The sequence below is a fragment of the Homo sapiens genome, chromosome 22 (genome assembly GCF_000001405.40).
Source record: "Homo sapiens chromosome 22, GRCh38.p14 Primary Assembly".
Taxonomy (NCBI): Eukaryota; Metazoa; Chordata; class Mammalia; order Primates; family Hominidae; genus Homo; species Homo sapiens.
Window position 1 is genome coordinate 46,918,227 of NC_000022.11, and position 20,471 is coordinate 46,938,697.

A 20,471-nucleotide genomic window follows, 5' to 3' on the forward strand; every position below is an offset into this window, starting at 1 on the left:
GGCCGCATCTCTGCTCTGTCCCTGTCCTAGGTTTGGAGAGAGGGAGATGGTGCAGGGTGCAGGGCCGAGGCCAAAGCACGCCTCAGCTGAGCCTATGTGTTTTCGGAAGCTTTCCTGGAACCCACACAGCGATGTCCTCCATCAGCCACACCCTTGCCACCCACCAGCCACAGGGGACCTGGAGAAGATGTGGGTGGAGACAGGAGGCAAGGAAGAGGGTCTGTGTGTGTGTGCATGCAGGCTGCCAGACCAGTGTGTGCCCCGGGGAGAGGTATGGTGGTGTGGTAAGGAAATGGAGAAGAAGTGGTTTCAGAGGTAAGACAAAGGCCAGGCCTGAGGTATCACAGAAATCAAGGGAGGGGACAACTTCAGGAAGGAGGGAGTGGTCAGCAGAGCTCATAGGGATGGAGACTGAAAATTGGTCAAAGCATTTGATAGTGGGGATCTTGCTAGCGACCTGCCAAATCTGGCTGAAGAATAGTGGCAAGCAAACTGTCACATCAGCTCCCTGCCCTCCCTCAGAAATGGGGGCCTGAATGTTTCTGTGCTTGGGGAAGATTGCACTCAGTGGACCACAGCCTCTTGCAACTTTATTTTAAATAATTTTTTATGATGGAAAGTTTCAAACACAAAGTCAACAAAATTGTCCGAAGAACCCGCGTGCCCGTCATCTGACTCCAGCAGTCACCGTTCTCCTTCCTTCTGTCCCCCACCCACTCCCAACCTCCATGCAACTTTACTTACTACTGCTGTTTAAAAACAGCTTTATTGAGATTCAGTTTAGAAACCATAACGTTTACCCACTTAGAGTGTAAAGTTGAAAGATTTTTAGAATATTTAGAGTAGTGTAACCATCAGCACCTTTGTTTTTAGAATATTTTCATCATCCCCAAAAGAAATCCTATACTCATTGGCAGTCACTCCCCATCCTTCCCTTTTCTCTTGTCCACTAGCCCCAGGCAGCCTCTCATTTGCTTTCTGTGTCTGTGGATTTGCTTCTTCTGGACATTTCACGTGAGTGGAATTACATGGTGCGTGGCCCTTTGTGTCTGGCTTCTTCCACTTGGCATCATGCTTCCAAGGTTCATCCACGCAGCGTGAATCAGTACTTCCTTCATTCCGTAGCCAGGTAACGTCTCCGGGTACGGACGCAGCACGTTGTGTTTCTCCACTCATCTGTTGGTGAACATTTGGATTGTTTTCATTTTTCGACTAATATTGTTTCCATTTTTGACTAATATTTTGACTAACAGGAATAACGTTGCTATGAGTATTCATGTACAAGTCTTCGTGTAGATATGTGTTTCCATTTCTGTTGGTATATAACTGGGAGAATTACTGGGTCACATGGTTACTCTGTTTAACCTTTTGAGGACCTGCCGGACTGCTTTCCCACGTGGCGGCACCATTTTCCCTGCCCATAGCATTGTGGGAGGAGCGTATGTTTCCTCTTCCTGCAGGAGTGTGTCCACATCCTGGTCAACACTTGTCATCATCTTTCACTCTTTTTTTTTTTTTTGTAGACTTTACTGAATCTTATATTAATTTAAAGAGATTGAGTTCTGCCTCTTACTCTCAAACTGTGATAAAAACTCAGATAAGAAGGGATGTTGACTGTAGAAATCATTTGTAAAGAGGAATAAATTCCCCGGTGCTGCTGTTTTCCCCATAGCCCAGCAACTTCAGTGTTGACAGCCTTTGTGCCCAGTGCCAAATTCCCTGTCATAAGAGGGAACCTTTATGGCAACTGTTTAACCCCCTTAAAATGGATGCACATGCTGATGTTTTCTTCTAGGCTTAAAGCTGAGTGTTAGGTATATATGTGTTTGTTTGTATGTATGTATGTATGTATGTATGTATGAATGAAGGAGAGAGACAGAGTGTTGCTCTATTGCCTAGGCTAAGTGCACTAACGTTATCATAGTTCATGGCAGCTGCAACCTCCCAGGCTTAAGTGATGCTCCTACCTCAGCCTCCCAAGTAGCTGGGACTACAGGCATGCACCACCACGCCTGACTAATTTTTTATTTTTTGTAGAGGCAGAGTCTTGCTATATTGCCCTGGTTGGTCTCAAACTCCTGGACTCAAGGAATTCTTCTTCCTTGGCCTCTCAAAGTGCTGGGATTACAGGCACGAGCCACTGTGCCTAGCTCAAAGCTGGGTATTCTCCCATTCTAATAATCATTTAGTCATGTCCTATGACAATTATACCTTAACTTTTTAGAAGGGATATATGGAAAGGTAAAATTTCCATATATTCCCTAAAACTCATGGAGGCTGTGATTCTGTTTCATTCCTGATGTGTGCTCTGTTTTCTTTTTTCCTGTTGTGCCTCTCCCAGGTAGATTCGCTGCTCCTCGAATCTGGGGACTGTGTCGCATGCGTGTGTCATGCTTTGCACAGAGAAGCTTCGTGGATTAGAGAAACTCTGTTGAATTGGATCCCTACAGAAAGTTTTTGTGTTTATAGAGCACTTTATTAGTATTTGTTTAAACACTGAAACAATATATAATTTTTATTTATTTTTTGAAGTTAACATTATGTTATTTATTCATTTTTTTTTTTTGAGATGGTGTCTCTGTTGCTCAGGCTGGAGTGCAGTCGTGCGATATCGGCTCACTGCAACCTCTGCCTCCTGGGTTCAAGCGATTCTCCTGTCTTAGCCTCCTGAGTAGCTGGGATTACAGGTGTGTGCCACCATGCCCGGCTAATTTTTGTATTTTTAGTAGAGACAGGGTTTTACCATGTTGGCCAGGCTGGTCTCGAACTCCTGACCTCAAGTGATCCACCCACCTCGGCCTCCCAAAGTGCTGGGATTACAGGCATGAGCCACTGTGCCCGGCTACTATGTTGTTATTATTTTTTAACTTTTATTTTAGGTTCAAGGGTACATGTACAGGTTTTTTATATAGGTAAATTGTGAGTCACAGGGGTTTGGTGTACAGATTATTTAGTTACCCAGGTAATAAGCGTAGTACCCGAGAGGTAGTTTCTCGATTCTGACCCTCCTCCCGCTCTCCACCCTCAGGCAGGCCCTGGTGTCTATTGTTTGCTTCTTTGGGTCCATGTGTACTCAATATTTAGCTCCCACTTATAAGTGAGAACATGCAGTATTTGGTTTTCTGTGCCTGTATTGGTTCTTTTAGGATAATGACCTCCATCTCCGTCCATGTTGCTACAAAGGATGTGATCTTGTTCTTTTTTATAGCTGAATAGTATTCCATGGTGTATATGTACCACATTTTCTTTATCCAGTCCACCATTGATGGACATTTAGGTTGTTTCCATATTTTTTGCTATTGTAAATAGTGCTATGATGAACATACACGTGTATGTGTCTTTATGGTACAGTGATTGATATTCCTTTGGGTGTATACCCAATAATGGGATTGCTGGGTTGAACAGTAGTTCTGCTTTAAGTTATTAGAGAAATCACCGAACTGCTTTCCATAGTGGCTGAACTATTTACATTCTCACTAGCAGTGTAAAAGCATTTTCTTTTGTCTACAACCTCCACAGCATCTGTTTTTTTTTTTGACTTTTTAATAATAGTCTTTCTGACTGGTATGTGATGGTATGCAAATATGGTTTGCAAATATTTTCTCCTGTAGGTTGTATGTTTACTCTGTTGATAGTTTCTTTTGCTGTGCAGAAGCTCTTTAGTGTAATGAAGTCCCATTTGTTAATTTTTGTTTTTGTTGCAATTGCTTTTGACATCTTGGTCATGAAATCTTTGCCAGGGTCTGTGTCTGGAGTGGTATTTCCTTACATTATCTTACAGGATGTTTACAGTTTTAGGTTTTACATGTAAGTCTTTAATCTATCTTGAGTTGATTTTGGTATAACAAAGGGGTCTAGTTTCAATCTTCTGTGTATGGCTAACCAGTTATCCCAGCACCATTTATTGAATAGGGAGTCCTTTCTCCATTGCTTGTTTTTGTCCACTTTGTCAAAGATCAGATGGCTGTAAATGTGTGGCTTTATTTCTGGGCTCTCTCTTCTGTTCCATTGGTCTGTGTGTCTGTTTTTGTTATTGTGCCATGTTACCAGTGCCATGCTGTTTTTGTTAGTGTAGCCTTGAAGTATAGTTTCAAGTGTACTCACAAGTATATTCATAAGCATGAATATTGTAATGCCTCCAGCTTTGTTCTTTTTTGCTTTGGATTGCTTTGGCTATTCAGGTTCTTTTTTGATTCCTTGTGAATTTTAAAATAGTTTTTTTTCCTAATTCTGCAAAAAATGTCATTTATTGGTAGTTTAATAGGAATAGCACTGAGTTTGTAAATTGCTTTGGGCAGTGTGGCCATTTTAACAATAGTGATTCTTCCTATCCATGAGCATAGAATGGTTTTCCATTTGTATATTCATCTCTGATTTTTTTGAGCAGTGTTTTGTAATTCTCATTGTAGAGATCTTATATGTTACCTGGTTAGCTGTATTTCTAGGTATTTTATTCTTTTTGTGGCTGTTGTAAATGGGATTGCATTCTTGATTTGGCTCTCAGCTTGGACATTGTTAGTGTACAGAAATACTACTGCTTTTTGTACATTGATTTTTGTATTCTAAAATTTTACTGAAGCTATCAGATCTAGGAGCTTTTGGGCAGAGACTATGGGGTTTTCTAGGTATAGAATCGTATTGATTGCAAACACTTTTATTTCCTCTCTTCCTATTGAATGCCTTTTATTTCTTTCTGTTGCCTGATTGCTTTGGCAAGGACTTCCAGTACTCTATTGAATAGGAGTTTTGAGAGTGGGCATCCTTGTCTTGTTCTGGTTTTCAAGGGGAGTGCTTCCAGCTTTTGTCCATTCAGTGTGCTGTTGATTGTGGGTTTGTCATAATTGGCTCTTATTATTTTGAAGTATGTTCCTTCAGCGTTACAGAGTAATGTAAAAACATAGCTTTAGAAACAGTATAGAGATACTGGTAAATATAGATAAGTTATGAAGGAAGCAATTAAAATACTTGGCCATCCCACTGTTGAGAAGACTTATTGAAGCCTATCTCCTCACTGTGCAGCCTCCCCTTTGATTAAGATCCTTTCTTCCCACACAGCCACACTGGGAGGGCTGGAGAAGGATCTCTCTACTTTCTCTGCTCCCAAGAGACCAGTGGCTATCTGCATGGGGAGAGTCCTGGGCTCTACTTCAGTTCCTTGGGGGTGGCACCATGGTATCACCTCTGTGTGGCAAGCAGTGTGAATCTGGGCCCTTCCCCATCTCTTGCCCCGCCCAGGGCTGGGCCTCGAAGGTAGCCTGGGTCTCTTCTCTAGGTTGCTAGGGTCGCAGTGTCTAGGTCTGGGCTGGGAGGAAGAAGGACTCATCCAGCTTGGAGCCTGAGCTGTGGTTCCAGCCCGTCCTTTGAGCCAGGGTGCGGGGCACTTGCCCGCTCAGCGCTCACTCAGGGGTTACTGTCCTGTGTATGGCCACCAGGCAGCCGCCGTACCACTGTGCATAAGCAGCTGTTTTCTGTATTTCCTCTAAGTCTTGTTTTCTATGCATTGTATTTACATAGTCGAGTGCATATTATCTATAACATTTTGTTTCATGTTTTTTTCCCACATTTAACCTTACAATGTAGGCTTTTCCTTGTATTAAGAAATCTTTATAAAAATCATTTCTACCTTCTGTACATAATGCTCTATTGAGATCATGTAGCATAATTTCTGAAACCATCCAGTGTTGGTGAATCTTTTCTTTTAGTTTTTCTTTCCTTTAGGCATGGTGTAATTTTTAAGAAAAGCCTGTACTTTTCAAACAGCGACTGTCATATTACTTTTAAGTATGTTAAATTTGAAGATTTTGAATTAAGGAGCATTGTTCCATCACCTTGAATTCCACAGTTTAAGCAGACAATTGTATTTTAGCTTAAACATTTTTAGCAGAGCAAGAAACAAAGAAGTATTTGCCCCCCTCCCCATCTTTGATGCCTCCGTGCTATTTAAATGTAGAAACAGTCTTGACTGAGTCCTTTGGACTGATAGCTCGGAGTGGCTGGATGTCTTGACTGAGTACTTTGGACGGATAACTCGGAGTGACTGGATGTTGGTTGTGCTGCAGGCGAGCAATAGGACCACATTTTGGAAAAGGTGAAGAGTGTTTTACAATGGATTCTCACCATCAGTATGTTTAATATCTAATTGACTTGATTTTCTATGTCATTTTCTCTTAAATTACTCTTGAAAGCAAATGTGCAATGGGATTAGAATAAATAGTGCATTTACTTAAGAACATTAAGAATATTTATTTTGCCGGGTGCGGTGGCTCACGCTTATAATCCCAGCACTTTGGGAGGCCGAGGTGGGCATCAGGAGTTCGAGACCAGCCCGACCAACGTGGTGAAACCCCTTCTCTACTAAAAATACAAACATTAGCTGGGCATGGTGGCGCATGCCTGTAATCCCAGCTACTTGGGAGGCTGAGGCAGGAGAATTGCTTGAACCCGGGAGGTGGAGGTTGCAGTGAGCCAAGATTGTGCCATTGCACTCCAGCCTGAGCAACAAGAGTGAAACTCTATCTCAAAAAAAAAACAAAAACAAAAACATTATATTCCTGTTTGTAAGTCAGATTCTTAAAGTATAGATTGTTCTTAAGCATGTGGTTACCCAGAGAGGACACTCTAGCATATGGCTCCTGGAGCTGGAGGACTGCTAGGGTTGTGATGAGTGTGTGGTGGGGATGGCAGGTAAAATCCCCACAGCCGGTGGGACACATGAGAGGATGAACGCAGAGAACATGCTCACAGCTGGATTTTAGCAGCATAGTCATTCTTTTGCTTATTTCCATTATCGGAGTATTGATAGAGCTTTGAGTGACAGTGAGGGAAAGAAGAGCTGGTGCTAGTTTCTCATTGATAAGTTGTAGCTTTAGAATGATTTGTTTTAGCTTTCCATTGTTAGCATTTAAATTTTACTTCCCTCCACCTTGTTTTTTTTGTGTTGTCTAAACCAAGGCTACTGCCAAATACATCCTTTGCCTGACTTCCTTGAATGTTCCTCATAGCTTAGGTGCTTTTGTGCTCCACAGTTAATCTCGGAAACATTGAAAGGTAAAAACCAAAGCATCTGAGCGTAGCACATTTTCTGTAGCAGTTCTAGACCCACGTGAGACAAGCAGAGAGTTCCCTGGGGTTGCTCGTGTGTGGAATAGCGAAGTGGAGGTGGCTGGCTTTGCAGCCCCTGAACTGACTGTGCAGGTGCCACATCTTTGCATTGCCCACGACTCATATATATTCATTTTTTCTAGTTAAAAACATTTCGGAAATAATTAGTGTAATGGACTTACTGTTTAAAAGATTGGAAAGTTTAATAACAGTATGGCTTTGCCATCCCAGAAGCTGTCACTTGAATGTTTGGCTAATTTTTTTCTGGCCTTTTACTCTGTAGATTCTTTTCCATAGTAGCTATTATATTATGCATGCACATTTCAATATTGCTTTTTGCTTAGTATCTAACCATTTTCCAGTGTCATTCAACAGTTTTAAAAAATACGTGTTTTAAAAGTAGCAACATACTACTTTCAATAATGGCTAGAAAAATGAGACAAATCAGCAAGAAACTAGAAGAATAAACAACACAGAAAACCAACTAGATCTAGTAGATATCCACAGAACACTGCACCCAACAGCAGCAGGATACATGTTCCTCTCAAGTGCTTGTGGAGCATTCTCTACAATAGACCATATGCTAGGCCATAAAACAAGCCGTAATACTTTTGAGAAGATGGAGTTTATACAAAGTGTGTTCTTTGACCACAGTGGCATTAAGTTAGAAGCCAGTAACAGAAGGAAATTTGAAGAAAATGACAAATATGTAGACATTTTAGAACACACCCTAAATAACCAGTGGGTCAAAGAAGAAATCGTAAGGGAAATTAGAAATTGCTGTGAGATGAAGAAAATGAAAACACAATATATCAGCACTTACAGGATGCAGTTAAAGCAGTGATCCAAGAGAAATTTATAGTTGTAACGGACTATATTAAAAAAGACCTCAAATCATTAACTTTCCACTTTCCGAAACTTAGAAAAAGAAGGGTAAAATAAAGCCAAAACAAACAGAAGGGAGAAAATAATGAAGACTAGAACAGAAATAAGTGAAACAGACTTGTAGCTAGACTGACCAGAGAGAGAGAGAAAACTCAAGTTACTAAATTCATGAGAAATTTTAGAAATACACAGCATTAAAGTAATACTATGAACGACTCTACAAACCAGGCAGTGTATATGAAACAGAGAAACTCCTAGAAACACACAAATTGCCAAAATTGACTATGATGGTTAATTTTGTGCTGACTTGGCTGGGCTGTGGTGCCCTGTTGTTTGGTCCAACTCCAGTCTATTTGTAGCTGCAGTGTAGATGTATTTTAGATGTGATTAACATTTAAATCGGTGGACTTTGAGTAAAGCAGGTTACCCTCCACAATGTAGGTGGGCCTCCTAATCTAATCAGGTGAAGGCCATGAGCTTGAAGAGTGAAGTTTCTTGAAGAAGTAGGAATTCTTCTCAAGACTGCCTCACGGGAAATCCTGACCGAGTTCCTAGCCTGCTAGCCTACCCTACATATTTCAGACTTGCCAGTCCCTACAATTGTGTGAGCCAATTCCATAAAATAAGTCTCTCTTTGAGACTGAATTAATTATTAACAATTTAAAATTAACAATGAACTAATTTTCATCAATAATTTAAATAATGTTAACTTGTTATTAATTAGTATTAATTATTGAAACAATAATTTCAAAAATCCCCACAAAGAAAATCGTAGGACTAGATGACTTCACTTGTGAATTTTATCAAAGGTTTAACAAAGAATTAACACTCTTTCTTCATAGACTCTTTCAAAAAATAGAAGAGGAGGGAGCACTTTTCACCTCATTCTATGTGGCCGATATTACTCTGAGACCAAAGTGAGATGAAGACATAACAAGGAAAGAAAATTACAGAACAATATTCCTTATCACAATGGACTTAAAAATCCTCAGCAAAGTCCTAACAAACTAAATCTAGCAACGTATTGAAAGGATTAGGCATTATTACAAGTGGAATTTATTTGAGGAATGCTGGGATGGTTCAACATTTGAAAGTCAATCCGTGTAATACACTGTATTAACAGAATAAAGGACAAAAACTACATGATCATCTCAGCTGATATGGAGAAAGCATTTGACAAAATCCAACACCCTTTTATGAGAAAAACATTCAACAAACTAGGAATAGAAGAGAACTTCCTCTCTAATAAAGGCTTCCATGAAAATTCTGTGACTAACATCATGCTTAGTTGAAAAGACAAAGTTTTTCCCCTAAGATCAGGAGTAAGATATGGATATCTACTTTCTCCACTTCTATTTTAGTACTGGTTCTAGCTAAGGCAGTTAAGCCCAAAAATGAAACAAAAGTCATCCAGAATGGAAAAAAATAAAACTACCTCTATTTGTAGATGACAGGATCTTGTATGTAGAAAATCCCCAAGGAATCCACTAGAAAACTATGAAAGCTTATAAACCAATTCAGGTTTGTAGGATGCAAGATCAAGATTAAAAAATCGGTTACATTTTCATGCACTTGCAATGAAATATTTAAAAATGGAACTAGGAAAATCCACTTACATCAGAATGAATAAGATACTTAGACATAAATTTAGCAAGAGAGGTGCAACATTCGCACTCTGAAAACTACAAAATATTGTTGAAATAAATTAAAGAGGATCTAAATAAATGGAAAGGCATCCCATGTTTATGGATTGGAAACCTTAATATTGTTAAGGTGGCATTCTTTCTCAAATTGATGTAAAGATTCAGTGCAGTCCCTATCAAAAGCCTAAATGGCTTCTTAGCAGAAATTGTCGAGCTTATCTTAAAATTCATTTGGGAATTAAAAGAACCCGGAATAGCCGTAACAGTCTTGAAAAAAAAAAAAAAACAAAGATTAGGACTCACGCATTCTGGTATCAGAATTTATTACAAAGCTACATTAATCAAGACTGTGATGCTGCCATGTGGATAGACATGTAGATCAGTGGAGTAGAATTGAGAGGCCAAAGATAAACCTTCATATTTATGGTCAATTGATTTCTGACAAAAATGCCAAGAGAATTCAATGAGGAAATTTATGTTTTCCAACCAGTAGTCCTGGGACGGTTATTAGACATTGAAATGCAAAAAGATGAAGTTCCACTCCTGCCTCTCTGTAGACACACACAAAAAAGTGAATCATGACCTAAATGTAAGAGCTGAAATCATAAAACTCTTAAAGGAAAACATGAGGAAATCTTCATGACCTTGGGTTAGGCCATGGTTTCTGAGATATGACACCAAAAGCAAAAGGGACAAAGGATAGATAAATTGGATTTCATCAAAATGAAAACTTTGGTGTTACAAATAATACTCTCAAGAACATGAAAAAACATTCCCCAGAATGGGAGAAGATGTTTGCAAATCATATATCTGAAAAGAGACTCATATCTAGTATATACAAAGAACTCGTACAACTCAGTATTAAGACAAACCTAATTTTAAAATGGGCAAAGTGTTTGAATAGATATTTCTCCAGAGAAAATATACAAATGAGCAATAAATAAAAGATGGCCCACATCATTAATCATTAGGGAATACAAATCAGAAGCCACAGTGTGGTACCGCTTCACATCCACAAGGATGGCTACTATCAAAAAGATGAACAATAACAACTTAACAGTTACAAATGCTGGCAAGGATGTGGAGAAATTAGAATGTGGGGGCCGGGGGATTGACTGTTAATGGGTACAGAGTTTCTTCTGGGGGGAGGCAAAATGTTGTAAAATTAGATTGTAGTGGTGGTTACCCAACTTAGTGAATATATGAAAAACCACTGCAAATAATTTAATTATGTGGTATGTGAATTATATCTCAGTTAAACAGGTTGAAAAAGAAAGTGGAAGCTCATTATCCCGTTGTAAGGAGATGTAATTGGCAGCTTCCTATCGACAAACATTGTGTGGTTTCTGCTTTTTCACTGTTGATAATGCATGTGGTGGCTCCATAAACAAATCCTTGATTGTGTTTTAGGTTAGTCTTGTGATGCATTCTTAGAAGAGGCGTCACTGAATCAATGGCTGTGAGTGTTTTTAGGTCTGGATAACATTTGCTAGGTTGTTTTCCAGAAAGAAATGAATACGTATATTCTCACCACCATGTGAGAGAGTGCCGTCTTACTCTATCTTTGGTATTTTCTTTCCCTTAATTATTAATAGGTCTTTGATTGGCTTGACAGGACAAACATCTGTGTCTGTGTGCTTACAGATGTACTTCATTCATGGATAGATGCTTTAGTATTCACACGCAAGGCTGCTTCCACATGGGCACGAGCTCAAAGATGCTAAGTGACTCAGTGAATTGAGGAGCCAGGAGCAATTAATACACTCTCCAGTACTGACATGTGAGTTTTCAACCTCAAGGTACCTTATTCAACTGGCCTGATTAGAAAGTCAGCAAAGACAAGGGTGTGTGTGTGTGTGTGCGTGTGCGTGTGTGCATGCATGTATGTGCATGCATGCACATGTGTGGTAAAACAACAATTGAACAATTGGATTGGAATCCGTGGACTGCAGGCCTCGTGCTTAGAGTGTGCTAGTGTGGGAGAAGCAAGCATGTGCCCAACGGTCCCCTGGACCTGGTGTGCTGGGAACTTTCCACACAGAACTCTGCTCCTCAGCCCCTATGTGTGTGTGGACCCCTTTGGGAGGCAGCAGTAGAGAGCTCAGTTTGGGCCATTTTATGGAAATGCAGTGCCTGAGTCAGCATCTTGCAAGTCCCTGATGTACTTTATGCAGAGGACGATGTTAGCATTCCTTGTAAACAATGATGTGGAACCTGTATATTGTCATAAGCTCCCCAAGCAGAAGGTCAGCCCTTTCTTTGGCCTTGAGCCTGTCTTTGGGACCTTGCTGTCCGTTTTCTTGATTCCTGGCTCCTTCTCACTGTCTCCCCCATCAGACCACGCCGGCCTGCAGTCTGCTCCTGTGTTACCAATACACTGGTTTTGGTGAAGCATTTTGTATATTGTATTATAGTATCTGACATTTATTGAGTTTTCACTCCAGGCCAAGTGTTATATGTGTGTGGTGGTGGATAGGTTGGGTTAGGTTTTAAAGTGAAATTGTGGGGAGTCAAAATTACCCTCATAGTCCCTGAAGTCAGTAGGACTTGGGAACTCTGATACTCAACATCCAAGAATTAACCTGTTTTTTTTCCTTGCATTTATTTATTTACTTATTTAGACGGAGTCTCGCTCTGTCACCCAGGCTGGAGTGCAATGGCGCGATCTTGGCTCACTGCAAGCTCCACCTCCCAGGTTCATGCCGTTCTTCTGCCTCAGCCTCCTGAGTAGCTGGGACTACGGGCGCCCACCACCACGCCTGGCTAATTTTTTTTTTTTTTGTATTTTTAGTAGAGATGGGGTTTCACCATGTTAGCCAGGATGGTCTCGATCTCCTGACCTCGTGATCCACCTGCCTCGGCCTCCCAAAGTGCTGGGATTACAGGTGTGAGCCACCGCGCCCAGCCTTTCCTTGATTTTAAATCCTGGCTTCCATTTATTTGGAGCCAAAGCCAGTATGTAGTTTAAATGATGTGGGATTATGGGGATGAATAAGGGGCTCTCCTTCCTTCCTGCCTTTCTACCTTACACAAATTCACCTAAGCTAAATTTACAGTTTGATTAACTTTACCGTATATCTCCCTAATTCTCACAGCAGCCTTGTAAGGTAGACACTGCTGCTCTTAGTTTAGAAGAAGGGATATAGAGAGGTTAAGTGGCTTGTAAGGCCCCACCGTTTCAGTTCCAGAGTTCTAGTCCCTCCTGTTCTACCTCTGGACCGCAGGCAGCTTTGGAAGTCGCTGTCTCAGAGCCCGCCATGGAATTACTTGGTCATGTGGTTTTTATGCTTGCAGCTGATAGTGAAATCAAAGGATTCCTTTCTCCATTATCTGGCTTTTCTTAATGATACATAGCCAGAGTTCTTATTCATTTGAATCTGGTCCTCAAGGCTGAGATGTTGGGATTTTTATCCTTGTTAATTTGGACCTTTTCCTTCAGAGAACAAGTTCTATTTCTGTTCCACTCAAATGCAGTTTCATGTTTTTCCCAATTCATTTTCTTTTTTAAAAAATGAGTTTCTCTTCATTTCCAGTTTTAAAATTACAGTCATTGTTGAAGTGGTTCTGGCTCTAAGAGGAAATAAACCAACAAATACATAAGAGGTATCCTCCCACTTTTAGCCCTCCTAATATAAATGCCACATAATTTAATATCCAGGAACTTGAGTAATTCAAACCAGCACCTTTGAAAACTCTTAAGACTAAACTCACCCAAGTCGGCCACAGCCAGCAGAGGGTGCCTGCTTTGTGTTAGGAGTTCTTGTGGTTGGGAGGCGGCACCTTTGGGAATGTCCTGAAGACTGTGGATCCTCTTCTCCCCAGACAGACGCCTGGCCCCACACCTCACTTAAAGTTTCAGAAATTTCATGGACTCTCTTTCCTGGGTCTGATTCTTAATCCCTTTAAAGCCATACTGAGGAGCATGGTCAAGACTGATCTGACGGACCTTCATTTTTCGTGTAGTTTTCTCCATTCCTGGCTGCTGTTGCATGTTATGCATAATTTTTATTTTGTTCCTAGAAATGTTAATGGACTTTAAAAGCTTAATGGCATTTAGTTAGGAGATCCTTGTGGTATATTCTGTGATCTGTTGTTTTCTTTGTATTTCCAATTCAGTGTCACAACCTGGGAAAAATAAATTTCTGCTCACAGATTGATTCATTGTCGAGGAATGCCTTATTCTGATGTTACGCGGTTTCTTTCCTGGCTCATGCATGCCCCCATTTGTGCGTTTATAGAAAGTGTAAGTCCTGTGCTAGTCAGAGCAAGACTCTGTCAGTGAAGACGATGGTGACTAGTGGCGGGTTCACCGTGTCAGACACTGCGCTAAGCAGGTCATTACATGATCACCTGGAATTCTTAAATGCCCTCTGGCGACACCACCATACATGACTGTTGTGACTCCCCCAGGTTGCCCGTCAAGGCCGTGCTGTGACCGTTCTCCCGGCCCCAGAACTCATGGTTTCTCCACCAGCTTGTCACCTCAAAGAGTAAAGGCCAGAGAAAGACCTGTTGAGAATTCAGATGTGGTGTTGATTTTTTCTTGGTCATATATTTGCAATATTTGTCCTTCAGCTTTTGCATTTGTATCCACGAGTGACAGTGGTGTGTAGGGTTTTTTGGTGGAGTACCGTTTTCCTCAGGTTTAGGAATAAATGTTATGCTTGCCTCATAAAAGGAAGTAGGAAGTTTACTTCATTTCCCATGGCCCCCTCCCCGTGTCTTCTCCTCCCCATGGTTTTCCACCCATCACGGAGCCTTGGGTGGGTGGCAAGGGGCGATCGCGGTGGAGATGACTCCTTCTCACTGGCAGTGTGGCATTCTCTGAGGATAGGGTTTAGTGCAGTGTGCGTTGTCCTTCTTGCTTTTTTTTTTTTTTTTTTTTTTGAGATGGAGTCTCGCCCTGTTGCCCAGGCTGAAGTGAAGTGGTGTGATCTTGGCTCACTGCAACCTCTGCCTCCCAGGTTCAAGCAATTCTCCTGCCTCAGCCTCCTGATTAGCTGGGATTACAGGCACCTGCCACCACGCCTGGCTAATTTTTTTATTTTTAGTAGAGATGAGGTTTCACCATGTTGGTTAGGCTAGTCTTGAACTCCTGACCTTGTGATCCGCCTGCCTTGGCCTCCCAAAGTGCTGGGATGACAGGCGTGAGCCACTGTGCCCGGCCTCCTCCTTGCTTTTTGGCATCATTTGGGAGGAAGTGCTGGGAGCAGGTAGCTTGCTGGCTGCCATTGTCTTCTGCTACTTGCATTTCCTCCCTCTGGAAATTTTACATTTTCTGCCTAGCACCCATCTGCCTTCCATTCCTATCTTTGAGCTGTTAGGATCCATCAGCAGTTCTAGCAGGTGGCATTCTTCTCAGGACCACTTTCTCCAAATAAACAAAAGTTAATCATGATCACAACCACAGCGTGTGCTCTGAGCAGAGGGCAGAGGACAGTCAAGGTGAGGTGCAGGTCCTGGGCCTCAGGTGGGCCTTCCCATTAGGTAAGCAGTGTCTTCCGATCCTCAGTAGAAGGAGAGGTTTCTCCAGGTCCAGGATTTTCAGCATGGCTTGGAATTAGTCGAAGCCATGGAGATGAATTGAGGTGTGTGAAAGTTCTGCTCTTGGACAGGGCTTTCTCTTGGCCAACCCAGTGGGAGGGAAACGAGGCAGTCTCTGATGGGGTGAGAGGAAGTTCTTCTTCCTCTCCTGAGTCTCTGCCCTCTCTGGCCTCTTCCACACAGGGATGCTATTTAATTCTGAGGACAGAGACAGGGAGAGACCACTGGGGGGGGGTTGGCCCCCTGTGCCAGGGTGGCACTGGCCGGCAGCCTCTGCACTCAGATGCGTGTGTTCTCTCTCTGCACTGCCCGGGGCGGGTGTTGACTGCAGCCACGTGGCCCCTGAGCACGGGAAATGTGACCAGCACCACTGAAGGTTCAGTTCTGTTTCATTTTCATTTATTTCAAATTAAGTAGCCACACGTGGCTTGGTTCTGGTCTTGGGAAACACAGCTTTAGTGTGAGAGGAAGCAGAGGTGGGGACAGGGGTGTGGGGATGAGCCAGGCTGAGTTGAGGCTGTGTGGCCAGGTGGTCTCCAGCGTTTAGCCTTTTCACACTTGAGAAAGCTGGACTCCCACTTTGTGGGGTGTGGGAGTTTATATTTGATATGTGCCTTTTAATATTTTCTTTTTTCTATTTGCTTTTCTTGCCATCTTTATCTTCTCGAAAGGAAAAACAAAATGGCACAGGCAAGGCTTTTTGACCCAGTGAATGGGTGAGTTTGCAGACTTTTTATTTCTCATGATCCAAGTAAGGATTTGTAGTTTTCATGATCAAAATTAAATTTTCTCTTTGCAGATAACTAAGGAATCTACTTTACCTTGAAATTTTAAGTACCAGGGAAAAAGGACATGAGAGTTATGTGTTTATCAAAAGTGGAGACACTCAAGTGCGTAGCAGAAGGCACTGGGCTTTGGAGTCCTGGAAACCTCGGTTACATTCTCAGCCTTCGTGCTCTGGGGTGTGTGGTACGCGTGGGCACGCACCCTTTCTCAGTGCCGTAAACTCGGGCCAGTGGGAGTAGTGAGTATCTTGGAGGGTTGTTAGGAAAGTTAAAGACTCCAGTGTGCAGTTGGCTGTCAGCAAATTGCAGCTCCTTTCACTTGCCAGAGAGAGCAGGAGTCTCTCACCATCCCCCAAATCGTCTATACTACTCTTGGGGAAGACTCTTCTTTTTTAGGACTCACTTCATAAGACGGCAAGGACTCTGCCATTGCAGTCCCTTGGCAGTAGTGATGGAGTCCTGAGGGTGAGGCGCGTCCATGCTCTAGCCCGGGGACACGTCACCCACTTCCAGGAAGGGTCTGCTCTAAGTCTGTCTCCTCTCTGGTTCAGTGCAGGGCAATGCGTGCCGCCCCCGCTCAGCGTTGCCTCGAGTGTTGGTGTTACGCTGCTGGAGAGGGAGCAGCTCATGTGAAATATGGTCTGCCCACCCTTCGCCTGTCCAGGGGCCCTCCCTGGGCTCAGGGGCCATCAGCGTGTGGTGGCCACAGCGTTTTCACAAGGCCAGCTTGCCTGGTGAAGGGAGAGGGTGGGGAGGGGAGGTGAGTCTCCTTTAGAAAGCTGTTTGATATCATGGTTAGAGGTTTGGTGGTTTCAGTTAACTTGATTTTCTGTTCAATAGGGGCCTGGGTGTGCTGGGCTTCCTCTGAGTGTCTCATCATGCAGGTTTTCAGGGTGAGTCATCTGTGTGTCAGGCACAGCTGGTCACTGATATGACTCCCCAAGCAATGAAGGCATCAGTAGGTTTCGAAAGTGGCCTTAAGAAGGTACAAGTAATATTACCTCTGATGTCAGCCAAGCAGAGTAGAGTCCAACATTAGCACCTTCTCTCCTGTAGCTCACATTCAGAGGGCTGGGACGAAGCCCCTGTATTTCAGCAAATTAGAAACTTTGGTTGAACATTCAGGACTCTAAGTGATATCCTGGAGTACATGAGAAAAAATGGGAATTCTTGTTAAAAAGTGAGTCAAAAAAATTATAATCCTGAAGTTGCCTCTGGGTTACTGAGTTCGCACAGTGAATTCAGATGCACCCCCACTCCCCCGCAGCCCCTGTCACAAGGGCCGTATGGGCAGTTTGAAAATACAGTTAGAAACCATGAAGCTTCAGAAAGTTCTTGGAAAATGACCAGTCATTAAATGGATTCAAAGCTCGAAGTTTGGGTGACATTTCTCCCTGTGATTCCGTCTCGCCCCCCTCCTTTCCGAGTCTAGGAGTCTTGCAGCGGTCACTTCCCCAGGCGGCTCTGCTGCTGTGCTATGGGCCGTCTGTGGGCTGGAACCAGTTAGACTTCCTCCCTGTCCTTCTATCCCATTCTCTTCCTCAAAGATGCCCGTGTCTCTGTAGCCTTTGCTGTCGCGCTGTCTCCTGGGCCCTCCTCTGAACTCTGAACCCATGTCTCTGTAGCCTTTGCTGTTGTGCTGTCTCCTGGCCCCTCCTCTGAACTCTGACCCCGTGTCTCTGTAGCCTTTGCTGTCGCGCTGTCTCCTGGCCCCTCCTCTGAACTCTGAACCCATGACTCTGTAGCCTTTGCTGTTGTGCTGTCTCCTGGCCCCTCCTCTGAACTCTGAAGCGCTGTGCTTATGCAACTGTTTGCTGTCACTTGATCACTGTCAGCATTGGATTATTCTGTCCTCATCAGCTTTTGAGTTAATGCCAGGCTCTGAGTGCCTCATCCTCAGCACTGTTCCACCTTAGTGGAGAATTTATTAGGTGCCAGAGGGTGCCGGGCATGTGCTGGTCACCTTGACACTCATGGTTCTTTCCTTGAGTTGTCCCCTCACCTGTGATGGCTGTAGGGACTTGTTGCCTTTGCGCTGTGATTGGGTGAGGCCTGGGAGCCTCAGTGTGGTGGGTCCTCCTGGGGCCAGGCTCCTCGCGGTTCTGCACGCCCTCTTCCTGGGGCCAGGCTCCTCGCAGTTCTGCACGCCCTCGTCCTGGGGCCAGGCTCCTCGTGGTTCTGCATGCCCTCGTGGCTCCCCGCACAGCCTCCCTGCTGGGGAGCTTTCAGGATTCCTCCAGAAGCAACTCAGAATATACAGGCAGTGCCCCAAACAGTACATAGCACATCTCTTTAATGAACTGTGCCCGCTGGGGCCTGGGGCCAGGGCCGGCATTCCCATCCTCCTTTGATGATCTCCATTACCAAACAATTTTGGCGGACAGCCTGACAAGCGGAGCGTGAGACAGACTCATGGTAATTATGGATCTTTCTGTCGGATTCTGGACAAGGGCTGTCAGTTAACCGCTCAGGCTCTGCAATGGAGCCCTGAACAAAAGAATCAGGTGTGAACGGGAGCCTCACTCTGCGAGGACACACAGCCCAGTAGGGCAGAAAGTTATTCTTGAGTATTTACCAGGCTGGCAAGGAGCAGTATTTACCCTGCTCTTCGTAAGCCACACTGACCTAGTCTGCAGCAGTTTTAAAGTTTTTAACTCAAAGTAAAAACAAAACTACTCACCAAAAAGCAAACTCACAAAAATAAACGAATGAGACTAGTCTTGGGGACTGAAAATTGTTTCAAAATCTCTAAGTGTACAGCTGTTCTTGAGATTAATGTTTTCAGCTGACAGTCATCATGCTTGGCTTTTTTGTGGGGGGCAGTGACAGATAGGGTTCTTCTGTGGTCTCCTGAGGAGGGCCGCAGGGATTTGCATTCCGGCACAGGTATGCTCTGCGCTTTGCTTTTGTTTTGAAGAAAGGCATAATCTCGTGTCCATTTTAGGATGTTTGAACATTTCAAACTATTTTATAAGGATTGATGTTTTGTGATTTTTATCCTGTTCTTCAAAGAACAAGGAGAAAATCTTATTTTTAAAAAATAGAAGAAAATGCATTCTAGCCTGCAGTTACCACATGGACCCACCGCATCTGTGGGGAATCCAGGATATACAGTTCTGCGCCACATAATGACGTTTCTGTCAACACTGGATGGCGTATACCACAGAACTGTGTGCGAGCTGGAGAATTCCTCTCACCTGGTGACATCATGGCCATTGTAATGTCTTAGCAGCATGCATTAACCACGTGTTTGTGCTGATGCTGGTGTCAACAAACCTACTGCACTGCCGGTCTGTAAGAAATGCAGTTCATAATACTTGATCATGATAGTAAATGACTGTGTTACTGGTTTAAGTGCTTAGTATACTATAATCGTTATTTTAGAATGTAATACTTCTAAAAAAAAAGTTATTTAAAAAAAAAGTTAACTGTAAAACAGCCTCAGGCTGGTCTTTCAGGAGGTATCCAGAAGAAGGCATAGTTATCAGAGGAGACGATAGCTCCCTGTGTGCTGTTGTCCCTGAAGACCTTCCAGTGGGACAAGGTGTGGAGGTGGAATTAATGTGATATTGATGATCCTGTGATATGAATGATCCTGACCCTGTGTAGGCCTAGGCTAATGTGTGTGTTTGTATCTTAGCATTTAACAAAAAAGTTGAAAAAGTAAAAAAAAAAATTAAAGACAGAAAAAAGCTTATAGAATAAGAAAATGAAGAAAAAATAATTTTGGTACAGCTGTACAATGTATCTGAGTTTTAAACTAAGTATTATTATAAAAAAGTCAAGTTAAAAAGTTAATAAAGTAAAAAAGGTACATTAACTAAAGTTCATTTATTACTGATGAAGGAAATTAATAATAATAAATGTCGTGTGGCCTAAGTGCACAGTGCTCGTGAAGTCTCCAGCTGTGCACTGTAATGTCCCAGGCCTCGCAGCCACTCAGCACTCACTCACTGACTCACCCAGAGCAACTTCCAGTCCTGCACGCCCCACTCATGGTAAATGCCTTAGACAGGTGTACAGTTTTTTGTCTTCACTACTTTATCTGTAGTGTACCTTTTCTGTGTTTAGATATGTTTCGATACACAAAAACTGACCTTTGTGTTCATTTGCCCGCAGTATTCACTACAGTAACACGCTGCACAGGTTTGTGGCCCAGGAGCAACAGGCTATACCATATAGCCTAGGTGTGCAGTAGGCTTCGCTCTAGGTGTGTGTAAGTGCACTCTGTGATGTTAACGATGAAATAGACGAGTGATGCATTTCTCAGAATGTGTCCCTGTTAAGCAGTGCATGGCTGCATGATCACATCTTAATGGTATTTTTTTTTATCTTTATCTGGAAACATTTTGCTGTTTTCTCTTTCTTGATATTATTTTATCATTATTAATCAGTTATTTCTCTCTTTTTTTTTTTTTTGAGGTGGAGTCTTGCTCTGTTGCCCAGGCTGGAGTGCAGTGGCACAATCTCAGCTTACTGCATCCTCCACCTCCCGGGTTCAAGCAATTCTCCT

General features: G+C 42.8%; 1 protein-coding gene across 19 annotated transcripts in view, besides 4 other annotated features; it reads left to right on the forward strand.

Annotated features, from left to right (window-relative positions):
* Positions 1–20,471, forward strand: part of TBC1D22A (TBC1 domain family member 22A) — a 413,050-nt gene that overhangs the window by 155,577 nt on the left and 237,002 nt on the right. The window contains exons 9-10 of one of the 19 annotated variants that reach the window (XR_007067971.1): positions 11,274–11,409; positions 12,251–13,786. Coding sequence is in view for 1 of the 3 variants with exons in the window: in XM_017028747.3 (XP_016884236.1) it covers positions 11,274–11,353 (80 nt within the window). In the remaining 2 variants the exon portion in view is untranslated. 19 annotated transcript variants of the gene reach the window in all.
* Positions 15,300–15,349: an enhancer, noted in NCBI's record as "active region_19265". NCBI's record gives its function as "activates an Ori minimal core promoter by ATAC-STARR-seq in GM12878 lymphoblastoid cells {active_cell/tissue: GM12878}" and the evidence as "EXISTENCE:reporter gene assay evidence [ECO:0000049][PMID:35858748]".
* Positions 15,360–15,529: an enhancer, noted in NCBI's record as "active region_19266". NCBI's record gives its function as "activates an Ori minimal core promoter by ATAC-STARR-seq in GM12878 lymphoblastoid cells {active_cell/tissue: GM12878}" and the evidence as "EXISTENCE:reporter gene assay evidence [ECO:0000049][PMID:35858748]".
* Positions 16,063–17,262: an enhancer, noted in NCBI's record as "P300/CBP strongly-dependent group 1 enhancer chr22:47330185-47331384 (GRCh37/hg19 assembly coordinates)". NCBI's record gives its function as "activates an origin of replication core promoter dependent on BRD2, BRD4, P300/CBP, MED14 and CDK7 cofactors, with strong dependence on P300/CBP, by STARR-seq in HCT116 cells {active_cell/tissue: HCT116}" and the evidence as "EXISTENCE:reporter gene assay evidence [ECO:0000049][PMID:35650434]".
* Positions 17,629–18,194: an enhancer, noted in NCBI's record as "H3K27ac-H3K4me1 hESC enhancer chr22:47331751-47332316 (GRCh37/hg19 assembly coordinates)". NCBI's record gives its function as "activates a minimal SCP1, AML or CMV promoter by ChIP-STARR-seq in naive H9 embryonic stem cells {active_cell/tissue: H9 hESC(naive)}" and the evidence as "EXISTENCE:reporter gene assay evidence [ECO:0000049][PMID:30033119]".